This window comes from Homo sapiens, chromosome 12, assembly GCF_000001405.40.
Source record: "Homo sapiens chromosome 12, GRCh38.p14 Primary Assembly".
In the NCBI taxonomy this organism is placed as follows: domain Eukaryota; kingdom Metazoa; phylum Chordata; class Mammalia; order Primates; family Hominidae; genus Homo; species Homo sapiens.
Window position 1 is genome coordinate 46,355,482 of NC_000012.12, and position 25,375 is coordinate 46,380,856.

Sequence of the window (25,375 nt, forward strand, 5' to 3'; positions counted from 1 at the left end):
AGATACTGTTCTGAGTGTTGGGGATAATTTTTTTGTTTGTTTGTTTGTTTTTGAGACGGAGTTTTGTTCTGTCACCCAGGCTGGAGTGCAGTGGTGCGATCTCGGCTCACTGCAAGCTCCACCTGCTAGGTTCATGCCATTCTCTTGCCTCAGCCTCCCGAGTAGCTAGGACTACAGGTGCCCGCCACCACGCCCGGCTAATTTTTTGTATTTTTAGTAGAGAGGGGGTTTCACTGTGTTAGCCAGGATGGTCTCAATCTCCTAACCTCTTGATCTGCCCACCTCAGCCTCCCAAAGTGCTGGGATTAGAGGCATGAGCTACCGCGCTCGGCTGTGTTGGGGATAAATTGATTAAAAGATAGATGTCTGTTCCTATGAAGCTTATAGCTGTTGTGGTGGGGAAGTCAGAAAAAATGTGATTTGAGGAAGCAATCAACCATTGAATTGGGGCAAAGTCATAAAAGAAGGTTAGTGTCCTGCATGGAAGCCTAGAGAAAAGAAATCCAAAGAAAATAAATGTATCAATATCTCTGGACTGTTTCATTAAACATTTTGGGGGTTGCCTTCTTAGCTAGGGTTACCAACCATTCCCAGTTTGCCTGGGACTGTGGTTTCCAGGATGCAGGACTTTCAGTGTTAAAACAGGACAGTTGGTCCCAGTTTTCTAGCCTATTTCTAGTGCATGACCATTGTACCTCTCCTCTGAAAACTATTCTGCCCACCATATGGGTAGGTCCTGGCAGCTATTTGTACTGTGTTACCCTGCCCACCAAACTACATTTGAGATTAGGGTGGAATCTTGACCCATTACTGGCCGATTTGTATTGAGAAATTGAACTGAAAACAAGAAGCTCAGAATCTAGTTGCATAGTTCTATAGTGAAATTTCACACATTTCTGTCATTGAGGTCTCTAAAACAAAGACAGTTTTTGATTTTTGGAAGCTGTTTATCTTTTAATTCTCTGAGGCATCCCAATCTTTTAAGGAGTTCTCTCCATCTGCCATTCTTGCTTAAACTAATTTAAACGGATTTTTTTGTTATCAGAAATTTGACTAAGCCAAATGTCCAGGTGTATTTCTAAATTTCTACGTCAAGACAAACAGCTCTGGTTCTTTATTTAGAAATGTTCCTAGAATATTCCTTAAGCTTAATGGAAATCTCTCTGGAATAGCTAGCTCCCTGGTTAGAGTACCGTATTTTTATATTCAGTGGACATGTCAACCCAATTTCTTTCCTTTCTCACTCCCTTCCTGCCTTCCTTCACTCCCAATTTTTTTTTTTTTTTTTTTTAACAGGGTCTCACTCTGTCACCCAGGCTAGAGTGCAGTGGCATGATCACGGCTCACTGCAGCCTTGACCTCCCTGGGCTTCCAAGTGGCAGGGACTACAGGTGCACACCACCTGGCTGATTTTTGTATTTTTTTGTAGAGATGGGGTTTCACCATGTTGCCCAGGCTGATCTTGAACTCCTGGGCTTCAGCAATCCACCCTCCTTGGCCTCCTAAAGTGCTGGGATTAGAGGCATGAGCCACCACGCCTGGCTTCACCCAGTATATTTCTAATTGTAGATAAATAAATTTGCATTCTGGTTCACTTTGGTAATTTTTTGTATTTTATTTATTTGAGACAAAGGGTTTCACTATGCTGTCCAGATTAGTCTCAAGCTCCTGGGCTCAAGTACTGCTATTGCCTAAGCCTCTGGAGTAGCTAGGACTACAGGTATGTCACCACGACCAGCTGGTATCATTTTTTTCTAAAAAATAGCACATTTGAAAGTGTATGGATTTTGTTAGAACTCGTCTGACACATAACCCTACCCTCTTTCCAATGAGCATGTTAGTTGCATATGGTAGGTGTTCAGTTAGAGCTTGCCTATGAATACTTGAAAATTCCACAAGTCATTCTTCAATTGATTTGTTGCAAATTCTGCTGCCTTTCCTAATCCTTCTCATTTGACCATCATTAGTAACTGCATATTAAGTTTCTTGGAGACGTTTCCTGACTTTGGAACTACCATCAGGCATACTTGACTATCCCAAGGTGTGGTCTTTTCTGTTTCAGCTCTGGTTATTTCATTTCACAAGCCTCAAGCTTTTCGGACTTATCAGTAGGCCATACCTAAACTAGCCTGTGTATCTTAGTAACCTTCCCACTTCCACTGTTGCTCAAGTAAAACCATGCTGTTACACGCACCAGCTTGTCCATTAATTCCTCTTTTCCTGTGACTTTTTCACCAAACTGAACATATCCCAACTTCTTTCCAGGCCACTTGATTGCTCCTGGAGTTTGTGCATCATTATCACCCGAGTGGCCTTCTTAAGTAAAAAACCAGATCCTGGGCTACCCTACAGCTGGACCTTTGCAATCAGACAAACTAGGCACGTTTCAGAAAGCTGTGGTTTTAAAAGGCTCTCCAGTTGATTCTGATACATTATTGACCTATTTATTTCCATCAGCAGGGCTGAGCCTGGGCTCTTATGATGCATTTTAGCATCTTCCCCCAACTCTCCAAGACTTTCCATTCCTTCTCACTTTGGAAACTTAGAATCTCTGGGAACCTAAACTTTTTTTCCTGACCATTCATCACAAACATATGGACACCTACTAGGTGCTAGGTACTGCAGTTACAATGCAATTTGCATTAGACACTGCCTATCCCATTACCTGAAAAAAACAAAACAAAACAAAACAAAAAACACTGCTACTCAGGATTAAGCATGTATTTATTTTAGTTCAGTTAAAACAAACATACATTGTTTCATTGAAACGGTGTAGCACTCTTTGCCAACAAGCCATACTAGAATTGTTGGCCTCTAACAGTACAGTGGGGATATTTACACTATATACACAAAGTTAATACACCCAGGTTCTCAAAGGTCTTCCATTACACTAGATCACATTTTATTTCATTACACTAGATCACATTTTGATTACTGCATTTTGAAAATGTATTCCTTATTTAAATTTTAAATAAGAGATCTGAATTTGTACCAAGATTTCATGAAAAAATTTGATGTTGTTTATTGCAAATACAATTTAAACAAGTTTTTTTTAGTGTTTGTACACAATTTGTCAATTTTTCAATATTCAATTTTCTGTACAGGTACTTTTGGGACAATTCTTATAGTTACATAATGTGAATTCATCAAAATGCAGTTAAGAAACTTACAGGAATATATACACTTGAACCCAAGACCCAAACCTGACATTATATACAACCTATTTACAAATACATATGGACAGACAATATATGTACATAGATTATCATAAATATTGAAAAATAGGTTAGCTTTAATGGATTAATGTTGTTCTATAAATAACATTACAGTTGTAACTGAAACATCCACGGAAGACAGTAATGCAAAATGAGGTGACAAGACAGTGGTTTTAATACTGAAGACTGCTCATTAATGGGAATTCATTGTTCAGGAACCTCAAGGTAGACAAGATAGCTCCCAGAAAATCATCCATTGGAATTTTCCCTAGGCACTTGATTTTGAACCTTAAATAGCCAGAGGATTGGAGGAGCTTCCTCACATTAATTTGCTGTAGAGAAAAGAATTTTTTTTCCATTCCTTCCTGGTTGCCACAGTATCTTCTCCCATACAAAAAAAAAAAAAAAAGTCTGTAGAAACAACTCTTGGTATTCCCTGGCAGGTCTTAGATACAAAGTCAGCAACTCTTTCCAGGAGCTCATGCAAATTTGCCAATTCTTGGTCTCAACTAGAGGTGAGGTTCTGCATTCGAATGGAGTGCCTAAAGCCCAATTAAATGAAAGCAGTGCCGTAGAATCTGTCTTCCCACTGCCTTTCTATTTCTAGATGGCCCCCAATTATTTTATCTTCATAGAAACAGACAAAAATGGACCAACGGTTTCACCCAATGTAGCACTACAAGACGTCTTCCAGTTCCATAAGGGTCTTTAATTACACATGTATCTTGTTTGTAAATTTAGTCACATATAATACAAGAATGCGTAACAAAAACCATGTCTCCACATTTCTGGCCCTTGCCCCAAACAACATTTTTAGTTCAAGGGCAAACCTTACAGCCAGATGACCAATTGACAATTCCATTATTTGCTTCCTTCAACCACTTAATGGAATTATGTATATTAGATTTTAGACATTATGCCTGATGAGCGAAGTACCACATTATTTAATAATATATTCACCATACACTGTGACGTACGATAAATGTGCTCTTAAAGCCAAGTTTCAAAGTAATTATTTTCATTTCTAACTGGGATTGAAATGGAAGGGTTGACATGCAGTTGGACCAAAATGACTACTAACACTCAGTTTGCACTGTTTTCCCTAGCTAACCATTTGTTGGATGTAAACAAGTAATTCTACGTTGTACAAGAATGAGATGACAGTCCAGTGCAAATGAGTTTTTATAAAGCTTACTGCATGAGAAACCCAGTGGCCTACGCAAAGAGAACTTATATCATATCAAACATAGGTGTAACCTGTGGATTAGACCTCTACTGTAGACAAAACATGAACACAACTAAGCCATACATTGTCAAGTAATTCACACTTCCAGTAGGTGAGCATTTTGAAAAAGTGTACTCTCTGGACACAATAATTTTGGCCTATTGCCATCAAATGCCCATTTTCCACTGCTGGAAGCAATGTCAAAAAAGGGCTGGCCCAAAAAAAGACCCAGAGCTGTCAATACAACACTGGAGACAGATGCAACTGAATAAACCCTGTTTTACCCAATTGCACTATTTGGTACCTCAAAATTAGTTATTTTATTTCCCACAGAAATATCTGCATTATCTTCCATTCTAATAAGTTGAAGACACAAACATTTCAGTCTGAATGAACCAAATTGTTTGGGGACAGAGAAGAAAAGTGATGAACAGAGTTCATCTGATTTGGTATAGCAATAATCAATCATCTTTTAAGTAATGGTGACGTTTAAATGGAAAAAACTATGCTCCTAATTCATGGTACAATTTTTCATTACATCATTTTCTCTAAAAATTATTTTGGGTAAAAAAGTATTTGGCTTATTATGCCTACAAAAAGGCAAACCATTTCATTATATTAATATTCATTTTTAAATACCAATGACATTATTTTATGGAATTTATTGATAACTGCTTCTGAATAAAGTTCAAAAAAGCAATTTCTTAAAAGTAAAAGAGTGCTTCTGAGGTCTTTAAGTATTTTTGGTACAAAAAATAATAGTGTTTTTGTCAATGGTTATTCAATATTTTGCTGTAAATTAAAAAGAATTGTTTCTCACATCAAATGGTTCCATTAGGCACATTCAAGTAAAATCATAAAATATCCAAGTTAAACAATGACACAGCCAAGCATGTGGCTTGATAAAAGTTAAGAGTTTGTCCATTCTCTGGAATGGAATAAAATTGTCACTTCCCTTAACCCGAGACTCGTGGTTTTGTTGTTCATATCCATTTCTAACATACAGATAAGTTTCTTAAAAAAACAAAACAAAACAAAAAAGTTCACTTATTCTGCACTCAGAAGAACCAGCGAGGAATCTGCACTTCAAAAGGAAGTGAAACTGAAAACATTAGGTGAAATTTCATAGTAGTTGAGTTTACTCAACACTGGCATCAGATGGACTGAGTTTGAGTTTGAGTGGTGCCAATTAATGGCCACCTCCAGGTGCATTGTGTACCCAATCCAAAACAATCAAGGCCATGCTTCCGGTCATCACCAGTACACCACTTAACAGGAAGAACAAAGCCTGCAAAGAGCATAGAGAAAATTGATCAGCAAGTAATAAAACATATATGCTAAACATTTCTTCTATTTTTTGAAATGTGCTTTAATTACTAAAATCTATCCACTATATAATCTATAGAAAGAATATTTAACTTGCTAAATATAAACTCCTAAGTGATCAGTATGTTATCTGCAGTACACAATAACTACCTTTGAGGCCTTCTGAACTTTTTCACTTTTTCATTCCTTTGTCTCAAGTGACAGGGAATTTTCTTGCTAAACAAACTGCTTCATATAGAACTGGACTGGATTTTTTTTTGCAATTTTTTAGAATGAAAGTCAAGTCACAAAATCAAACCCAAATCATCCTAAAATGCAGCAAAAGTCAAAGCCAGAGGTCTTTCCAGGAAATACTAATTCCTAAATCCTACCCTTCAATACTGCCACTATGTAATTTAGAGTAAAACAAGATGACAGTTGTTGGTTTATAAACAATTCTAGTACTTTAATCAGAGCAGAATGAAGGAGAAAATAATGACTAAAAAGCAGTCTTTTTCCTAAATATCACCACCAGGATTCTGGTTCTAGGAACCACATCATTTGTGGTTAGCACATCATTCTCTGTCACCAACTGGTACTACACTTTAGAGTAGATACATAATAGTAAACACCATGAAGAGACGGCCTCCCTGAGAGCTTCGCTCTGAAGATGGTCAGTCTCATTCAACTAAACAGCCCTTCCTTCTCTTTTATATATTCAATGCCCATTTAAGTGCCTGTCACACAGTAGGCAGTCCAGTGAAAACTGGTTGAACAAATGTTGAAAGCTGAGTATCTCATCTAGTCTTCATCCCTATTCCTATCTCCAAAGTATCTAATAACTTTATTGCAATTAATTTAAGTGTTCATTAGATGGCAAACTATCTTTCCCCTTCCCTCTGCAATCTTCCATCTGTGAAGTATACCATTACAGAAATGTTTGCTGGAAACTTAAAAGTGAAACCATAACAAATAACAGCTATGAGAATAAAATTAAAATCAGTTGGGGAAATTTATGATATTATTACTGTTTCTATGGTTATAATCTTTCACTCACCCCAATCTTTTGTACAGATTTCATAGGTTCTTTCTTCACCAACTTGATATAGAAGGCAGAAGGAAGAATAAAAATCAACATAGAAGCTGCAGATGCACCTGTAAAACAACATTTATGTTTCTTGAGGATTCAATGAACCACTCGTCATTCATTCTTTAAATCTTAAAATCCCTGATGTTTGAATCCACTTGGATACTTTCTAAAACTTACCAATAAAACCAAAGATATCCCTAATAGTTGGGACAAAGATGACAAGTAAATTGGTAAATGCCAAGATAGACACTGTAATGAGACTATGACGCCACCAACTGAAATCTTTTGATGCACACAACAAGTGAGTTACAGAACTCCGGATCTGCAAAAAAAATAAATAAAATGTATTTTAAAAATAGCAGCAATATAAAATTTAAAAATCCAGCTTCAATGAATGAAAAGAATGCCCAAGTAACAAGGAATCTATCCAAAATAGTAACTATTTCTAAATAAAACTGTGCCTCTTTCTCTGCTGTTTCCTGAACATCTGAACACTTAAAGATCATTTTATATCTTATGGTGAAAAAAATGTCCCCAGGGTATTTTGAAAATATACACTGTATTTTTAAAAAGCCCCTTCAAAACCACCACCAACTTAGTATTGTTCTACTGGTGTTTCCCTTCTTCCAGAAGATGAAAATCTCACCAATATTCACATGTCTAAAAACTCCTTCCTACTGAAAGCAGAGCAAGTGATTACTTACTGGGAAAATAACTACTGGTACTGTCAGGGTCACAGCCATTAACACAGCCAGACGGACAATGAGAAGAAGAATATCAGTTCCCAAGATAGAAGAGTAGGTATGAAGCAATTCTGACTCAACATGTTCTACAGGGAAAGACCAAAAAAACTTTGATTGGCTGTTTTCATTGGACACCAAGTAGAAAATTTAACAGCAAAATGTGCACCAGTTATTTAGCTACTCACAAAACGACTATAAACTAAGAGGCTAATAAGATTTGTTTGGAATTATAGTTAATGCAATTAAAGTAACATTGAAGGAAAATTTTTCTAAATACCACAGAGATTTAGCCACATGACTCCCATTAAAAACAACAGGAGTTAAGCAGCTAAATCTCCTGGCTTGGCTTGCAATTTGTGTTTGTGTTACATAGTCTGAAGGTGATGGGAGAGGAGACAGGCAATATGAACTCAGAGGCTGGCATATCATACAAATATGCCATCAAATGATTAATGATATTTTCAAACCTGGATTCTAGAAATTACTGATTAAATACACTACAGAAAATTCTAAGCTCTAAATTTAATTTCTCATCACAAATATGAAATATATTAAAACAGACTATTTTTAAAGTGATGGAACTACACATAGAAAACTAGCAGCTTCATTTCAATAAGCGTTTTTTTTTGTTTTTGTTTTTGTTTTGGTAAAGGAGGCGTTACTTACCGTAAAATGTTAGGTATCCAAAGAGGGCGGCAAGCAGATACATGAGAAACATAGCAAAAAATGAAATCTTGGACACATTCATCATTCTTCTACGGCTGCGGCTATGTAATTCAAGAGAAAATTCAAATATATATTTCAGCAGCAGTTACAGCAATTGTCTAATATTTTCTCAAATTTATGTAAAAATGAAATACTCACTCTTTCAGTTCTTCATAGATGGGAAGAACAGCAGGATGACAGACAAATGAAAAGATCAGAATTGGCACAGCATAGACAGTCTGAAAGAAAACGTAAAAATCTACTTAATCTGATGTAACGAACTCATGCTGTCACATTTCCGCAGCATATATTTTATGTAAACAATCTTAGAATCAAAGCCTAAGTTTCCTTTGTGTAATTAGCTTCCATTCTTCTAATCTGTTCATGAAGTATGATCAATATCCTCACTTCTGAATGTGTCAATTATTAGCACCATATGATTATCTCAATTCTCAATCTATTTTCAGATGTAAACCAAAACTTTCTTCACAGTCCTCAATAATTAGCTAATCACATGTTTTCTATAAAGCACCTATTATCCTCCTCCCTTTACCCTGGGAGTGAATAGCTTCCCTCTTTTCTTCCCTAAACTCTTCTTTTGAGAAAATAAGCATATTTAGTTACCTGTGAGTTGAAAATAAAATAGTGAGGTCTGCAAGAGTCATTTTCAGTCACGTTATGTGACAAAGCAGGTACAAGAGCTGTTGGCTGTGTTAAGGTGGTGTTTATTGTTTCGTTAATTATCAAAGCAGCTTCCACAGGACACGGAACCTGAAATTTCTTGCAAATGACCTAAAAATATATTATTTTGCATGTGTTAAACTAAGTGACATGGCAGGGCTTATAAAAAATTTTTTCTAAAAAAAAAATCATACCCACCACAATCAGAAAGAACACCATACACAACAAGGAAAGGCCACTGGTATATCCCAAATATCCTATAAGGAGGGGTGGCAGGAATCAGTATTAGTTTAATGAAACAGATTTAAGGCAAATATCTTTTTCCCACTGAATAACTCAATTCTGCTGGGAAGACTTTAGGCACTAAAGTATGTGTATAGCACTAAATTTCTAATTCTTATGATACTAAATTATAGATTTATTTAAATATACTTGTCATAACCCAAGCTAATAAAAACTATCATTTGCATTATTTCTTACAAAGCACAACATATAGTGTCAATTAAATATTTTGGCTCCTAAATTTTGCATGCTGTAAGTCCCAAAGATATACCTTTCTACTTTCTAGGGCTTTTTCATTCTGATTAATTTCTATTCAGAGAAAGCCCAACTAACTGGTGAGAGGCTCATTTCAATTCTCTTTAGAGATGAGTTTGCTCACCTAAATTTCTAAACAGCGACAAAGGAAGAATGACCACCAATGACACCAACAGAACCAAATAGTTCCCGTTCAGATACCACAATCTAAAGAAAACAGAAACAAGGTCAAAACAGTCACAAATATCCTCTGAAAAATATACACATCTTCTAACAGGACTCATTTCATAGGAATACCATGAAAACAAACACACAAAAAAGACATGTTTGGAAAAAGTTTCCCCTGTTCAAGATAGGAATAACTTTTTAATTTTGTGTGCTAGATGAACATTTACTCAGGTTAGAAGTCGGGTATAAAACAGTGTAACTTTTGTCCCACTACTTGCTCTGGGAAGGCTGCCAGCTGATTCATAACACAAAATGCTTCTCAAAGACTTGATACTAATGCAGGGAACAAAGCTTGTTTGTTAAGCCAGTAATCTTATCTTTAAGCACTTTCAGAAAAATTGTACACCAACTTTGGTACAGCTTTAGCATGTAATTTCTAATGCTGGAAACTAAAAAATTTTAAAACAAGTTTTTTTCCAGATGCGTTAGCAAATATTATTAAATATTTCAATGAGGAAACGTTTTCATAAAATGCACAGGCAAACTGCCCCCCCCATAAAAAAAATTATAAAACTCAGTCCCCCAAACCAGGACTTATTCCAGGTTATCAGAGTATGTTGTGACATCTTGACCCACCTTTAACTCCAAAGACAGCCAAAAATATCCCTTTTGAACTTTAGAAAACATTATGTATATCCTCTAAGCCTTTTTCTTTTTAGGTAAATCATGAATTGCACTGTCTTCTAAATCACTATTTTCAAATTCTAATTGCCTCATGAATTCTGTTCACTTCAGCAGTAAGCACTCTGCAGAACACCAACACTTAAAGATCAGCTTAAAAAATTAAATTTCTAAAGCCACATCTGAGATAACAGCACTTCTCTATTTTGACGTAATGAGCTGCACATAGGGTGGGAAGTAAATTATCCTTCCCCATGTTTACTTTAGATAAATACCTGTGAGTTCACTGGGATGAGTAACTTTGCTAGAAGAAAATGGTTTCTATAGCATGCCCAAACATTTTCTGGCACATGTTGAGTATCCCTTATTCAAAATGCTTGGGACCGAAGTGTTTTGGACTTTGGAGTACCTGCACATACATATTTGAAGTATCTTGGAGATGGCACTGAAGTCTAAACACAAAATTCACTTATGTTTCCTATACACCTTCTTAAACCCATAGCCTAAAGGTGATTTTATACAGTATTTTAATTAATTTTGCACACCTGTCACGAGATCAGGTGTGGATTTTCCACTTGTAGTGTCATGTTGGCACTCAAAAAGTTTTGGATTTCAGATTAGGGATGTCCAGCCTGTATTTTGCATTGAACAGATTAAGTCTTAAGAATTCCAAACTTACAAAAATAAGACGGATTAATTTTTAATGTAATTCAAAGCTTCAGTCCTCACTTAGGATATATATTAAAAACACCTATAACTTCTTTAAGTATGAACATAAAGACAGAAAGCAAGTTCTAGAAAACCTGTTTTAGAAATTAAGATATCCAAAATTGTAGGGCTAGCTACTATCTTTCGGCCTTTCCTTCTCCAAAGTTCGAATCAGTTTACGGGGATGGGGGGCCTTCTTGGTCAGTTTCAAAAGGAACATTTATGGATAATTAACTAATCATTTTGTATACAACTTTGATAAAAATGTATCTAACCACTTTTGACTATAATTGTTTCTTATGAGTAACCTTACTTAGCACCTACCCAGTTTTATCTTCAATGTTCGTTAATGCCTGGATCACCAAAGGCAACTCATATTTCACTATGAAGAGGTAGCTTGACATAGCTGGAGGAAAACAAAATTATACCATTACAAGTGCAAAACGCGGCACGTGACACTAAAACGCATGTGTCACCATTCTGTGCTCCACAATGAGCATAAAGTCTACCCAAATAATCTTTTGAAAAATTCTTACCTCCAATGTTCTGCATTGTAATTGATCCAGATGCTGCAAGCTTTCCAACTAATCCAAATGCCTTATATCCCAATTGTTCATATAATAAAGACCCTACAATTTGAAGACAGAAGCATGAAGCCAAGGATTTTAAAAGAGAAATAAAATGATAGGTATACATTGTTTTAGAAAAATCAAGAATGCTATCATACCTCCTTCATTGGCAGTCTTCAAAAGGAGATGAACAGAATACAGGGAAAATATTGACACAAATGTCAAGAGAATTCTGGTGAGAGAAGGAAAAGGCATAGGGTTATAAATAAGCATGGCTATATTTAAAGACAACTCTTTCTGGATGTTTAAATAACATTATGTGTGCAACTTGTCCTATTTGTGTCAAAATGCCCTGAAGAACTGGCATTTCCTCTCCTACTAACTGGAATGGCAACACTGTCTCTTGGCTGGCAGTAAAAACTTGCATCATTTCTCAGGTGATAGTTCTACAGCATTGGTTAGGAACAAGGATGTCTACCCACTGAGCCAAACATAGCATGAGACACTGGAAAGCTCAACTTCCCAGTGATGGAGTTTGAAACTTGTATTTTGATTCTGGCACCACAATAATGAGCTGTATGCTTGCCACCTTTCTGCATTTCAGTAGTTCCCCTTATCTGTAAAATATTAGTAATATCCGCCACTAAACCCAGCCCACAAGGTTCTTGGGAAATTCAACTGAGACACGTTCAGGAAAGGTTTTAAGACCACATGGACCGTATACACAAAAACAGGAATGACAGGCCAGGTGCAGTGGCTCATGCCTGTAATCCCAGCACTCTAGGAGGCTGGGGCAGGATGACTGCTTGAGGCCAGGAGTTCGAGATCAGCTTGGACAACATAACATAGGGAAGCCACATCTCTACCGAAGGAAAAACAAAAAGCCAGCTGTGGTGGTGTACACCTATAGTCTCAGCTACTCAGGCTGAGGTGGGGGTATCACTTGAGCCCAGCAGTTTGCCACTGCACTCAGCCTGGAGGACAAAATGAAATACTGTCTTTTTAAAAAAAAAAGAAAGAAAAGGAAAAGAATGGTAAGGGGGAAATGACACTAACATGATACTAACATTTTAAGAGGCACTACAAGCTTTACTAACAACTGGGCACAAATCAGAGAACTAACCATTGTGATGACATACTACATTGCACCCCATGGCAAGGAATACAGGCCCACTATTGTCACAGTTAAACAATGTCTGTGCTAGAACAAGTAGGCTATCAGCTTGACTGTCTCTAAGCCTTTCCTCCCTTGACCCTTTCACTTGGATTGAGCAACAGAAAAAAAATAAATAAATAAGGTAACATAGAGTGACTAAAGGGACCCTAATGTCACCTAATTTTCCTTTAGGGTAAGGGTTCTCCCTCATTCCAGCTTTACTTTCCTTCCACCTAGGAGAGCCCAGAGATACAGACTAATTTTTTAAAGAAATTAAATAACAAAACAGGGAAACTCATAGAAAACCTTGCAAAGGAGAAGAGTTACATGTTTTTTAATTCCGTATGAACAAACTGCACGCAGTACCATGTAAGGTGCTGACAAAGAAACTGATGTCTATTAGTTAAACAGAGGAAGTGGCTTTACACTACCATTCTAAATGCCAGAAGTTTTACAGGACCTAGTCTGAAGTGACACTATCAACCTCACTTCTAACTGGAGAAAATATGTTGGTTTAATTAAAAACAAACCAAATTAAGTCCTTCCATGTCTTATACTGAAATGACAAGGGATGAATAGACTTTATAACCTTTGAGGTCACTTTCAACCTTCAGATTGATTCTACTTAAACAGGTTAGCTACAGGGTTGCTGAAGTGCACCGTGGCAGCCATGTGGTTTTTGGCCCATTTTCCTCTATACCTCTAAATATAAAGTAAGTACTGATGAATAAAATCACACTTTAGCAATCTTATTTAGCCATTAAGCAAAATGGTAAATCAATGACATAAGCACCTATTAAAGTATAATTCCAAGAGTACAAGGGTTACATCAGAATTTGACCTTCACTTATGAAACAGAGGTGCCATTTAGTATCATTTCAATTCTTACTTTAACTACACTGGCTGCACTCTAAAACTGCCTCCAGTTTTTATACCAAGTGCTAACAAGGATTTCAAATATTCGACAGTGATGCCATTCAGGTTCTCCACTAAGAACTCCTGAGATTCTAGGATTCTACGTAAATCGCTGGTCCTTCACCTTAGTAAGAGTTCTCTCAAAAAGCCTCATCCTAATTGAAGCAAGCCAGAGTGAATCCTAGCATCTAGTACTCAAAGCCAGGCTTAACCTCAGTGTGGAATTTCACAAAGCAGAGATTTGCAAAGGTCTGCTTTTCTTTTCATGAACATTCTATCGTGCTGGAGAAAATAACTTGAGTAGAAGGCACCAATCAGCTAAGTAAAACACATCTGTCACAAAGGGACAATTCCATGCTATATACATATGGTTTCCTTATCTGTACAATGAAGGTATTAAGTTACACAATCCTCCACAGAAATTGCCTTAGCCAGGGGTCCACGGGTACTTAAACTTAAGGGCTATGACACAAACATCACTGAAAAATACATGCTTAAGATTGCATGTATTTTTGTTTTGTGCTTTTTCCCTGGAAATAAGATCCACATTTTTCTATCATATTCTCCAAGAGTCAGTGACGCAAAAATGGCTAAGAACCACTGCTCTGAAGTCTTCTGTACCTCCAAGAGTCTATCCACGTATTTATGCTGGAAAGCACAGAAGTAATTAAGTCTAACTGTGCAACTGTGGGGGGAACCATTTAAAAATAAGTACTTACTAAAGTATTCATTTTTTGCCACAACATGTGGCAATCGAACAGGTCTGACAAAAGCAAACATTAAAAAAACATGTATGGATTGCTTTTCAGGGTCCAGAAAATTATGACCTCCTCGTCTTAAAACAAACATGTTCCAGGCTGGGTAAATACCACCACACCTTGTATGTTTAGAGAAATTTTCTTTTCCTTATTCACGTAAGGGGCCACAGGTCCTTAAGAACTGTGTCGATTTACCAAAATGATTTGGAGCTTATTAGGATTTTCAGCTTCTGATTTGCCAAAACAAAATTTATACCTACCCTGGCTTTAGCCATAGTTTTTTTAATATCTACCATCTGTTACAATTTTGTTTTAACTATTCCCACTGACTTAGAAGACTTCTGGCTTAATTTGTCAGTTTTAAGGACTGCCCTATTTTTTTCTAGTTGGCTTTCTTGATATTGTGCAGTATGTAGTAGAATAAAGAGATTTTTTGGGGTTTCTCATACTTTTAATTTTAAGCAAGTAACTTTTGAGTCAGCTACTCCAACTGTAAATTCAGTTTCTGGAGCCAAAATATGTTTTACCATAGTAACTGCCCTGCATGGCAGACTCACTACTTACACATACTTACATAAAAAGAGCAATTCCAGTATTAGCCATGGCATAAGAAAGCCCAAGGATTCCACTGCCCACAATCGCATTGCTCAGATTAAATACTGACATTCCAAAGGAAGTAGTACCTGGATGCTACATAGAGGGAAAACGATAACCAAACATATAACAATAATTAAATGGAGAAAACCAGCTTTGGGCAAGTTAGATTTGAATTCTAAAAGTAAAACTATTCTTTTACTCCATAAAGCCACTGACAGACAAATTACTATTTTTAACTTACAAATTCTGTTTCATACTTCTTCTTCCCCAAATTCGATTCAAGTAAAAAGTTCTGGTTTTCAGGATCTACATCTGCATAATGGCTGCAAAAAATATAGACATATATAATTGTAAACTGGATTGAAATATCTATCATTACACACAAGACTGCTTTAACATAAAATACCCTCCAACAGCATAGCTCTGATACAACATCTTTACTTAATGTATAAATATTAACTAGGAGTTGACTTTCACACCAGCTATCTTGTCATTACAACAAGATAATCGGATACTCTTTCAGAGATTACGCACCTTCTCTAAATGCTATAGCAAATTAAAGCAATGGAAGCAGAGTCCTAGGTAACTCCCTGAACCCAACCCATGCAAGCCGTTTTTTCAAAAGTGTCACAACTTCTCCCACCTTTTCAGAGCAGCTTGCTTGGTGGGGTAGGAGTAGTTGAAGTCGCTGTTGGAACTGTAGCTGCTGCTGTCTTCATCCGGGGAAATACTGAATCGTCCCATTTCGGCCTTCTTCATGCTAAGCACTGGGAGGAATCGGGTGCAGCTAGTAGCGCTGGGCTCCTTTTGTCCTTGGCGGTGGGTGCAGCGGCCCGCGAGTCGGCCTGCGAAAGTAGAGGCGGCGCGTCAGGACCGCAGCGCCAGCCCGCCGCGGTCACGTGACGCCGCCCGGAGGCGCAGCGCGGCTGATTCATCCCAGGCCAGGCGAGTGGAAAAGTACCAGCCGCGCGCGAGGGGCGGGGGCGCGCCGAGGGGCGGAAAAGTACAGACGGCGGAGCCGCGGGGAGAACAAAGATGATGCCACCGCTGTGTTGCGGCCGTCGAGGCCCCCTACTCCGGCAGATTTCAGTATTTCACCCTCTCTATTGTCCCTCGTCGGAGTGGAGGGGGCGAGGGGGGGTTCTGTTTTGCTTTTTCCCAGTCGCTCCAAACTTGCACAGGCACTCAGGGCACACATCCAGCCCCGACCCTGGCTCGTGTGCATGCAACCTAGGCGCACGGCTTTCCGTTTCTAGCATTTGGAACAGCAATGCTGCGTAATCTGTCCTTTACTGCCCGGAGTCCCCACACGGAGAAATGCCTCTGCCGCAGACAGCCTTCCCCAGGAGGCGGAAAGGGCCGACACTACTCCTCTCTCGAGGGGGGCGAACGCCCGGGCCCCGGGAGCTGGGGGTTTGTTTACACACGCGCGCCAGTGCCCTCAAGCACACCCGTCCACAGGCAGCTGGCCCGCGAGTGCTACGCCCGCCCAGCCCCTCCTATGTCCGGAAAGAAAACTGATGCAATATCGATCGTCGATTGTCAAATGTTCCCAACTCGTCTTCCCCAATCTTGGCCTCTCCTGTAATACATGCCCAAGCCCACCTCCGCCGCCCCCAGATTCCTGGCTCCCTGGACTTAATTTTTTTTTTTTATTAAATGCAAATCAGTCACAAGACTTGCCGCAGCAGAGCCGCTGGCCGGGCTAGCTCCCCTCCCCCTAATGGGAAGATGCGGCTCCGCACCGTGCAGGCACGCGGCCCCCGCCCAGCGCCCGCTCTCCTACCCACGTCGCGGGCGCGACACCCGCGCGGCGGGCCAGGGTGGAAGGCTGGCCAGCCCAACCGACAACGCCCGCCTCGAAAGGAAACGGACCCCGCGGCCGCCTTCCCGCGCGGCCCCTCCCGGAAGCCCCTCCCCCACTCTCGCCCGGGCCCCGCGCCCTTCCCACAGACGCCCCCCCGCACGCGTTACCTCGGTGGTCTCTATTCTCACGCAGACGTCTTCAGTGGGTTTCTCTCAGTCAAATACAAATCATAAAAAACAAACAAAAAATTTCCCCAAATCCAACAACAGGCAGGAAAAATAATTTTAATAAAAAAGGAAAAGACAAATTGCCGCCCCAATCCTCCGGCGTCCGCCGTGTCAAGGGAAAGGCGCGAGCGTGCGGTAACGCGTGGTCGGGCTGCTGCTAGCAGTACTGGAAAGGCGTTCTAAGGCGGCGGCGTCGCGCGGCTGTGGAGCAGCCCTGCGAGCGGCGGGTTATAGCGGCACCCCGGGGACGCGTCAGTGGGCGGGACCGCGGCCGCCCGGGCGCCTTCTCTTTGTGTATCAACACCACCTGGGCCCCGCCTCCGACCCGCCCAGACCTAGGCCCCGCCTCCCTGCCCCTCCCTCTGCGGCCCGCGCCCGCGGCCCAGCCCCGCCCGCAGGCGCCCCCAAGACTCTCCCGCAAAGCCCAAGCCCACTCTCTCCAGCTTTCTAGATAGTCTGGAAAGACCCCCAGATGCTTCCCCTGCCTATCCTTTTCAGCCAGGGTTGGTGCTCAACACATGCGGTTGTCTTTGAGGAGCCATCTCCTTAAAATTTTCTCCTGTCCGAGTCACCAGCAGTCCTTGCTTTCGGGGGACACATCAAGGCTTTTGGGGGACACCACCCTCCCACCAAACACTTTCTTGATTGTTATTTTTGTGATTTACAGTGAAGTTTTGTCTCACAAACTTGGGCCAAGGCAGCAAGGTTGTCCTGATGGTTTGTTGTTCTTTCTTTTCCACCTAGACCTGCTTTCACTCTTCAAAACTAGCCGGAGGTCGGCGAGCAGCTCCTTTTCGGGATGTGCTTTTTGTACGGCCATGGAAACTGGACTAGCGGAAAGGCTACCTTTTGGCCAGCAAGCCAGGCCCCTTAGAAAGAGGCCCCAGTGGGGAGCCCGGCGCTCCTAAGGCCGTTTGGGAGTCCCCAGTTTTCCACTCGCTGACACGTTGCTTCTCTTATCCCACCACCGCCGCCCCGGGCAAAGGCACTGCCTTGTCTGAATGCGGGTCTGAGGCGCTTTCTGCGGAGCCTGGTCCTTTCCCTTCAATGGTGATGTGTGTGGTCTTGCTGAGCCAGGCAACTAGGGGGACCCTTCGCTGTGGAAAAATTGGTGCTGCGGGAAAGGCAAGACTCACTCCCTTGCAGGAAACAAAGACCCCTTAGGAGAGAGAAATGTTCATGGAATGAATGAATAAACAAGTTTGACCTACTGCTCTCTTCCTTTTGGGGACTTGGGAGAAATTGGGCAGGGCATAGAGGAAAGGGCTGGGTGTGATCGCAGTTTTTGCTTTCAATGTTTTACTGAGGAAATCCGTACAACTGCCTATTTCCGCCGCACGTGAGGCTTCGGGTGCCCTCGCCTGCACCAGTGTTTATGATTGACAAGCGAGGTCCCGATTTCCCCCATCACACTCCTGTGTTCCCTACCCCAAACCTTCTACTCTGTTCAGGCCAGTCTTCCCTACCGCAAACCTTCTACTCTGTTCAGGCCAGTCTTAAATAATAGCCATTCTTGCTTTGGTGTCCAATCTCCTCTCATCCCCTTAAATGCCGCTGTCATGCAAGGCTTAGTCTTCGAGCCACAGGAAAGCGCCCCGCATGCCTTAATCCCTCCGTACTCAGCCCTCTTTTTGCAGGTACTATTTTCTAAAACAATATGGTGACGGACTTTTAAAAATCCGTGCTGTCATGCACTCAAAATCGTTCCAGACTATTTGTAGTATCATCTGCCCAAAGATTGTGAACTCCCCAAGGGCAGGTTTGGAATTTGACACACAATTAGGGCTGAAAAAACTATCTTCCTTCCACATACATTCCCCAATAAAATCAATCAACTCTTCTTGTCACAACAATCTTGGTAGTGGTAGGTTAGAGAGGAGTCCCAGGAAGTTTCTTTATATTAGGTTTCAACTGATAACAATCAAAAGGTCTTAAACCACTTTTTCATTCCAGATGAATCTCTGGTCGTTTCCTCTGCCCAGTTAGAGGTGCTAAGGAGGCCCTCAGGGTTGGTAGTTATGGGTGGCAAGTGGCACTATAAGTAAATCTCATGTCTTTTGGACTTTTTGGTGGTTTGTATTGCAACACATATTTAGGAGAAGCACAATACCTGTACAGCTGAGGGCAAAGTGGAGGGCAGGGGCGGGGGGGGGAGCTGCAATATTGATCTGGTCTCTGTATGATCAGAACTTGAACAGTAAATGACAAAAAAAGAAGGGTGGAGGGGTGAAACTTCCATGTTTTTATTGCCAGTTTGATTGGTCTTTTCGAGGGCCAAACTGAGGCATGCCTGCTAACTCCATCAGACTTCCAACTGAGGCCTGATGTGCTCTGAGCAATTGCTGTTATGCTTTGGGCTTGAATGCATTGGACACAGTGTCCTCATTCAATTTCTGGGAAACGATATTGCCAAATACCTATTGGTCAGTGCGCTATAATTTTGTTTGATTTCTAAGCTAATGTTCTAGAAGAGCAGCATTTTTTAAACTTTCAGAATGGGACCAAGTGGTGGATAGTGATGAATTCAGTGGATTAGTACTAGCTTTCTATTTTCTTCAATGCAGTAGAATAGAATAATTTTTTTTAAAAAATCAGTATGCCATATGTACTATTATTCTGTAAATCTTTTATCTTGATTATGTGTATATATATGTGTGTATATATGTATACATATGTATACATATATGTGATTATGTGTGTCTGTATATATATGTGTGTGTGTATTATGAGTTGTGATGTAAAACAGGGGTCCCCAACCCCTGGGCAGCAGACTGGTACCAGTCTGAAGCCTGTTAGGAACTGGGCTGCACAGCAGGAGGTGAGTGGCAGTTCAGCCAGCATTTGGCCTGATCAGTGGTGGCATTAGATTCTCATAGGGGCACGAACCCTATTGTGAACTGCACATGTGAGGGATCTAGGTTGCATACTTCTTATGAGAATCTAACTAATGCCTGACAATCTGAGGTAGGACAGTTTCATCCTGAAACCATCTCCCCCAATTTTTTTGTGGAAAAATTGTCTTCCACAAGACTGGTCCCTGGTGCCAAAAGGTTGGGGACTGCTGATGTAAAATGTATGTCTTGCTGTGGTTTGGGGGGGGGTCAAAGAATTTTGAAAGCTACTGAAATTGAATCTTATTTCCTATCCTAAGACAGAAAAACTGTCACAAAAATCAGTTATCAATTCTGGATTTTCAGGAATGCATTGTCAGGATAGATTGTTAGAACTATTTATTGAAGGTAGGTAGCTATGTTCTGTACAATTTTTTGACCATTATTTCCTGATAAAATAGAGTGGTTCTGTTTCCTGGAAGCTGTCATTGGTTGACATTTTCTACTTGTTGTTAAACAACTGGTTTTTAAGATGACCCTCAAAATTCTATTTATCCAGCACTACAATTTGCCAAAAGTGGGCTTACACATAAAATTTGCTTTTCTCTACCCTCCATTTCCAACTGTATAGTTTCATTCGCAGATTAGCTTCTATGGCTTTCTTTTATCTGTCCCAGCCCATATTTCCAATCTTATTTCCCATTATTCCTTGTGGTAGGCAGCTTCTAGGATAGGCCCCAATAAATCACCACCTGCTGGTATTCATACATATTTGTAATCCCCTCTCCTTGAATATGGGCTGGACCTAGTGATGCACTTCTATGTGGCAAAAGTGATGGCATGTCACTTCTGAGGCTAGGTTACAAAAAGACAGACTGGGCGTGGTGGCTCATGCCTGTAATCCCAGCAATTTGGGAGGCCGAAGAGGGTGGATCACCTGAGGTCAGGAGCTTGAGACCAGCCTGACCAACATGACGAAATCCCGTCTCTACTAAAAATACAAAAATTAGCTGGGCATGGTGGTGCATGCCTGTAATCCCAGCTACTCGGGAGGCTGAGGCAGGAAAATGGCTCGAACCTGGGAGGCGGAGATTGCGGTGAGCCGAGTTCACGCCATTTCACTCCAGCCTGGGCAACAAGAGCGAAACTCCTTCAAAAAAAAAAGAAAAAAAAGGACTGTGGCTTCTATCTTGTTCTCTTGTTCACTTTCTCTGGTTCACTCCTTCATCTGCTTTGAAGGAAACAAGCTGCCATCTTGCGAGCTGTCCTATGGAGAGGCCCACATGTCAAGGAATGGGTGTTTCTGGCAACTACCAGGTAGAACCTGTGGCCTGCCAATAGTCATATGAGTAAGTGTGGAAGCAGATTCCACCCATTTGAACTTTGAGATGACTGTAGTCCCAGCTAATACCTTAGCCAGAGGACCAGATAAGCTCAGCCCAGATTTCTGACCCACAGAAACAAGTGATAACAAATGTTTATTGTTTTAAGCCACTACATTTTGGCACATTTTATTACTCAGCCATAGATAACCAATATATTCCCCTTCATATACCCTATGCTTTTGCCAATATATGTTGCTCAGTGTTCTCAATATAAACTGTTTTCCATTTAAACCATTTCTGCTACTCGGAATGTTCTTCATACCTCCTCTTCCCTGCCACTATATATTTAAATTATATCCTTCCTTTGAAGCCCAGCTTAAATATCACAACTTGTATCAGCTCCTCTTTATTTGGTGATCCCATTTGAAACCGATCTCACTTTACTTTCAACTTAGTGCTTTATAAATATCCTTTTTTTTTGGTGACACTTCTTTTCCTGTTGTCTACATATTAGATTTGATGTTAGTGTCTTTGCAGGGCAGCCTCTTGCTAATTACACCCAGTCCAGTTACTTGTAAAAATAAGGCACTTTTTGAATATATAAATGAATTAAATACTTTTTTCTTTATAGTACTTATCACCACCTGAAATTATGTTAAATATGTTTATTTATTTACTTTTTCATTGTTTGTCTCCCTCACTAGAACGTAAGTGCACAAGGGCAGGGATTTAATCAGCTTTGATCACTGCTAGTTCCAGCACCTGAAATAGCTCCTGACAATACATGTGCTGAATGAATAAATACAGGGTAAATAGTTTTGAGTTTCTCAAGAACCAAGAGAAACCTATTATATGTTATGTTTAAAGGGCATCTATCCTATCCCTTACTGCCTAAAGCAGAACTCTTGATTTCTCTATCAAAACTATTTTTCCTCGAACCTTTCCAAGTCAGAATAACACCATGATTCATAAGGGAGCTCAGGCCCCAAACCAAGGAACCATGTTGAGTCCTCCTTTTCCTCAAATAACCAACCCATCACCAAGTCATGAGGGCTCTGCCTCCACATATATTCAGAATTCTGTTGCTTCTCACCATCTGCATTGCTCTGGCCCTAGTGAGACTATCATCTCTCTCAAGACATCTCCTGAATCATAGCCTAACTCATGTGTGGGTTTCCATTCGTGGTGCTCACACACAGTCCATTCTCTGTGAGTCATTTAGTAGCCATATTGGTAATCGGATTGAAAAAACAGTACATAAAGGGTTTGGTACTATCCGCAGTTTTAGGCATCCACTGAGGGTCTTGAAATGTATTTCAAGCAGATAAGGGAGAACTACTGTATCTTTATGCAGCTCCCTTCTTATCATTTAGATCTTATCTTAAATGTTACTGACTCAAAAAAATCTTCTTTGGCCATTCCAGCAAAAGTTGCTCCTTGGACTCAAGCTCCATTCCCCACTGTCCTATTTTATTTTTTAGTGCAATGTGTGAAAACACATTATTTGTTTGTTTGCTTATGATCTTCTGCAACATTAACTCCATGAGGAAAAGACTGGTTTGGCTCATTATTAAATGAATCTTCAGTGCCTAAAACAGTGCCTGATACATAAAAAGTGTTCAATAAGTGCTTGTTGATTTAGTACTTTCAACTTTTTCCCTCAATGCCTAGCACAAAATAAACTCTGAATCCATATTTGTTGCAATGCCTTGATGATAGAAAAGACAGTATTTTTTTTCTCAGACCCAGTCTTGTCTTGTCTTTTCCTTCCCTCCCTCCCTCCCTTTTTCTTTTTTCTTTTCTTTTCTTTCCCTTTCTCTTTTCTTTTCTCTTTCTCTCTTTCTTTCTTTTCTCACTCTGTTGCCCAGGCTGGAGTGCAGTGGCACCATCTTGGCTCACTGCAACCTCTGTCTCCTGGGTTCAAGCTATTCTTGTGCCTCAGCCTCCCTACAGCTGGGATTACAGACATGCGCCACCATGCCTGGCATTTCAGACCCAGTCTTTTGTAAAACACAAGCATGAGGATGAATTCCAAGGCTTGCTTTCTAATGGCTTTTTTTCACCTAATTAAATGCCCCTTTGCTATGCACACAGCCTCACTCCTTTGTCTTAGGACAGTGTTATTCAAAATTCAAGTATGAACACTGGCATTGTGGAGAGATAGTGAAATTACTTTTTCTTTCCTCCATCTCCCTTCAAACCACACCCTTCCCCTTATTCCAATGACTTCCATATTTTCTTACTGCTTTTTTTTTTTCTTTCTTTCTTTTAAGAGACGGAGTCTCACTCTGTCGCCCAGGCTGGAGTGCAGTGGCGCGATCTCGGCTCACTGCAAGCTCTGCTTCCCAGGTTCACACTGTTCTCCTGCCTCAGCCTCCTGAGTATCTGGCACTACAAGTGACCGCCACCACGCCCGGCTAATTTTTTGTATTTTGAGTAGAGACGGGGTTTCACTGTGTTAGCCAGGATGGTCTCAATCTCCTGACCTCGTGATCTGCCTGCCTTGGCCTCCCAAAGTGCTGGATTACAGGCACGAGCCACTGCGCCCAGCTTCTTATGTATTTAACTTAATTTTTTTCCTCAAATAGTGAAGACTGGAGAATAATTAAATGTTTAAAATTGGCTAATAAAAATTGTATCTATCATGTACAACACGATGTTTTGAAATATGTATACACTGTGGAATGGTTAAATCGAGCCAAATAACATAGGCATTACCTCACATACTGATTTTTTGTGGTGAGAACAGTTAAAACCTATTTTCTTAGCAATTTTCAAAATACAATACATTGTTATTAACTATAGTCACCATGTTGTACAATAGAGCTCTTGAACTCATTCCTCCTATCTAACTGAAATTTTGTTATCTTTTGACCAACATTTCCCCAAACCTCCTCCCCTCCACTCCCTCAGTCTTTGGTAACCATCATTCTATTCTTTACTTCTATGAGTTTGAGTGTTTCCGGTTCCACATACAAATAAGATTATGTGATTTGTCTTTCTGTGCCTGACTTTTTTCCACTTAGCATAATGTTCTTGAGGTTCATCCATGTTGTTGCATTTCCATATTTTTAATATTAATCTTTCCAGGTGCCTGAGGAAATTCTTGTCTCAACTCTTTTTTTCTTTTTATCATTTTGTATATATTATTCTTGGGATCATATTTAGAAAGTGCTTGATAAATGAACGGTTGTATTCAATCTTGTAAGATAGCTCTCAAGTCTAAAGCAACAGTACGGACTCTGGGAGTGCTTTGCTGACTTTGGCATGTTTTTCTGGTGTTGACAGATACTCTATTAGATATCAATTGCTATGTAACAAATTATTCCAAGACTTAGTGTCTGAAAGCAACAATAATTTATTATCTCTCGAAGTGTCTATGAATCAGGAATTCAAGAGCAGCTCTGTTGGGTGTTCTGGCTTTAAGTCTTTAATGAGGTTGCAGTCAGCTGTGAGAGGGCTCTAGTCATCTGATGGCATGACTGGGGCTGGAAGATCTTCCAAGGTCATTCACATGTTGGTAAGTTGGTGCTGGCTGGTTGCTTCCTCTCCAAGAAGGTGTCTGCACAACCCTGACTGAATGTCTTCATGACATGGCAGCTGGCTTATCCCAGAGCAAGTTAGCAAGAAAGAGCAAGGCAGAAGCTGCAATGCCTTTATGAACTAGCCTTGGAAGTCACACTTTATCATTTCTACCATATTCTATCAGTCACAAAGGCAAGCCCTGATTCAACATAGAAGGGGACTACACAAGGGAGTGCATACCAGGAGGTAAGCATCACTGGGGGCCATTTTGGAGGCTGGCTACCACAGAGAAGTTGTCAGCAGCAAGAATATTTTTATTTTATTATTTTATTTTATTTATTTATTTATTTATTTATTTATTTATTTATTTATTTTTATTTTACTTTGAGACAGGGTCTCACTCTGTCGCCCAGGCTGGAATGCAGCAGTGTGATCAGAGAGCCCAGGTTCAGGTGATTCTCCCACCTCAGTCTCCTGGGTAGCTGGGACTATAGGCACAGGCCACCACGTCTGGCTAGGCTAATTTTTTGTAGAGACAGGTTTCAGCCAAGTTGCCCAGGCTGATCTCAAACTCCTGGGCTCAAGCAATCCACCACCTCAGCTTCTC

The 25,375-nt window shown here is 40.3% G+C and overlaps 1 protein-coding gene and 1 long non-coding RNA gene across 4 annotated transcripts, besides 8 other annotated features; one reads left to right on the forward strand and one right to left on the reverse strand.

The window, feature by feature from the left end:
* Positions 1-2,706: 2,706 nt before the first annotated feature.
* Positions 2,707-17,292, reverse strand: SLC38A2 (solute carrier family 38 member 2). Of its 3 annotated transcripts, NM_018976.5 has the most exons (16): positions 17,028-17,292; positions 15,697-15,898; positions 15,295-15,376; positions 15,031-15,146; positions 11,786-11,859; positions 11,595-11,687; positions 11,383-11,464; positions 9,626-9,708; positions 9,163-9,221; positions 8,908-9,075; positions 8,443-8,522; positions 8,245-8,345; positions 7,540-7,664; positions 7,013-7,157; positions 6,803-6,900; positions 2,707-5,728 (listed from the first exon to the last, which is right to left on the reverse strand). In NM_018976.5, the coding sequence occupies exons 2-16, from the start codon at positions 15,810-15,812 to the stop codon at positions 5,630-5,632; spliced, it is 1,521 nt and encodes a 506-aa protein (NP_061849.2). In that variant the 5' UTR covers positions 15,813-15,898; positions 17,028-17,292; the 3' UTR covers positions 2,707-5,629. The 3 variants fall into 3 exon arrangements, with proteins under 3 accessions (NP_061849.2, NP_001294865.1, XP_047284975.1); NM_001307936.2 differs by lacking the exon at positions 15,031-15,146; XM_047429019.1 differs by lacking the exons at positions 15,031-15,146; positions 15,697-15,898; positions 17,028-17,292 and having other exon boundaries at positions 15,295-15,382.
* Positions 16,222-16,371: an enhancer, noted in NCBI's record as "active region_6245". NCBI's record gives its function as "activates an Ori minimal core promoter by ATAC-STARR-seq in GM12878 lymphoblastoid cells {active_cell/tissue: GM12878}" and the evidence as "EXISTENCE:reporter gene assay evidence [ECO:0000049][PMID:35858748]".
* Positions 16,452-16,781: an enhancer, noted in NCBI's record as "active region_6246". NCBI's record gives its function as "activates an Ori minimal core promoter by ATAC-STARR-seq in GM12878 lymphoblastoid cells {active_cell/tissue: GM12878}" and the evidence as "EXISTENCE:reporter gene assay evidence [ECO:0000049][PMID:35858748]".
* Positions 16,452-17,174: a biological region, named in NCBI's record as "NANOG-H3K27ac-H3K4me1 hESC enhancer GRCh37_chr12:46765735-46766438".
* Positions 16,471-17,174: an enhancer, noted in NCBI's record as "NANOG-H3K27ac-H3K4me1 hESC enhancer chr12:46765735-46766438 (GRCh37/hg19 assembly coordinates)". NCBI's record gives its function as "activates a minimal SCP1, AML or CMV promoter by ChIP-STARR-seq in primed H9 embryonic stem cells {active_cell/tissue: H9 hESC(primed)}" and the evidence as "EXISTENCE:reporter gene assay evidence [ECO:0000049][PMID:30033119]".
* Positions 16,802-17,001: a silencer, noted in NCBI's record as "silent region_4384". NCBI's record gives its function as "represses an Ori minimal core promoter by ATAC-STARR-seq in GM12878 lymphoblastoid cells {active_cell/tissue: GM12878}" and the evidence as "EXISTENCE:reporter gene assay evidence [ECO:0000049][PMID:35858748]".
* Positions 17,032-17,111: an enhancer, noted in NCBI's record as "active region_6247". NCBI's record gives its function as "activates an Ori minimal core promoter by ATAC-STARR-seq in GM12878 lymphoblastoid cells {active_cell/tissue: GM12878}" and the evidence as "EXISTENCE:reporter gene assay evidence [ECO:0000049][PMID:35858748]".
* Positions 17,202-17,541: a silencer, noted in NCBI's record as "silent region_4385". NCBI's record gives its function as "represses an Ori minimal core promoter by ATAC-STARR-seq in GM12878 lymphoblastoid cells {active_cell/tissue: GM12878}" and the evidence as "EXISTENCE:reporter gene assay evidence [ECO:0000049][PMID:35858748]".
* SLC38A2-AS1 (SLC38A2 antisense RNA 1) lies at positions 17,302-18,297 on the forward strand. Its single transcript, NR_187299.1, has 2 exons — positions 17,302-17,381; positions 17,832-18,297. It is a non-coding gene; the product is annotated as an SLC38A2 antisense RNA 1 (long non-coding RNA).
* Positions 17,792-17,851: an enhancer, noted in NCBI's record as "active region_6248". NCBI's record gives its function as "activates an Ori minimal core promoter by ATAC-STARR-seq in GM12878 lymphoblastoid cells {active_cell/tissue: GM12878}" and the evidence as "EXISTENCE:reporter gene assay evidence [ECO:0000049][PMID:35858748]".
* Positions 18,298-25,375: the final 7,078 nt, after the last annotated feature.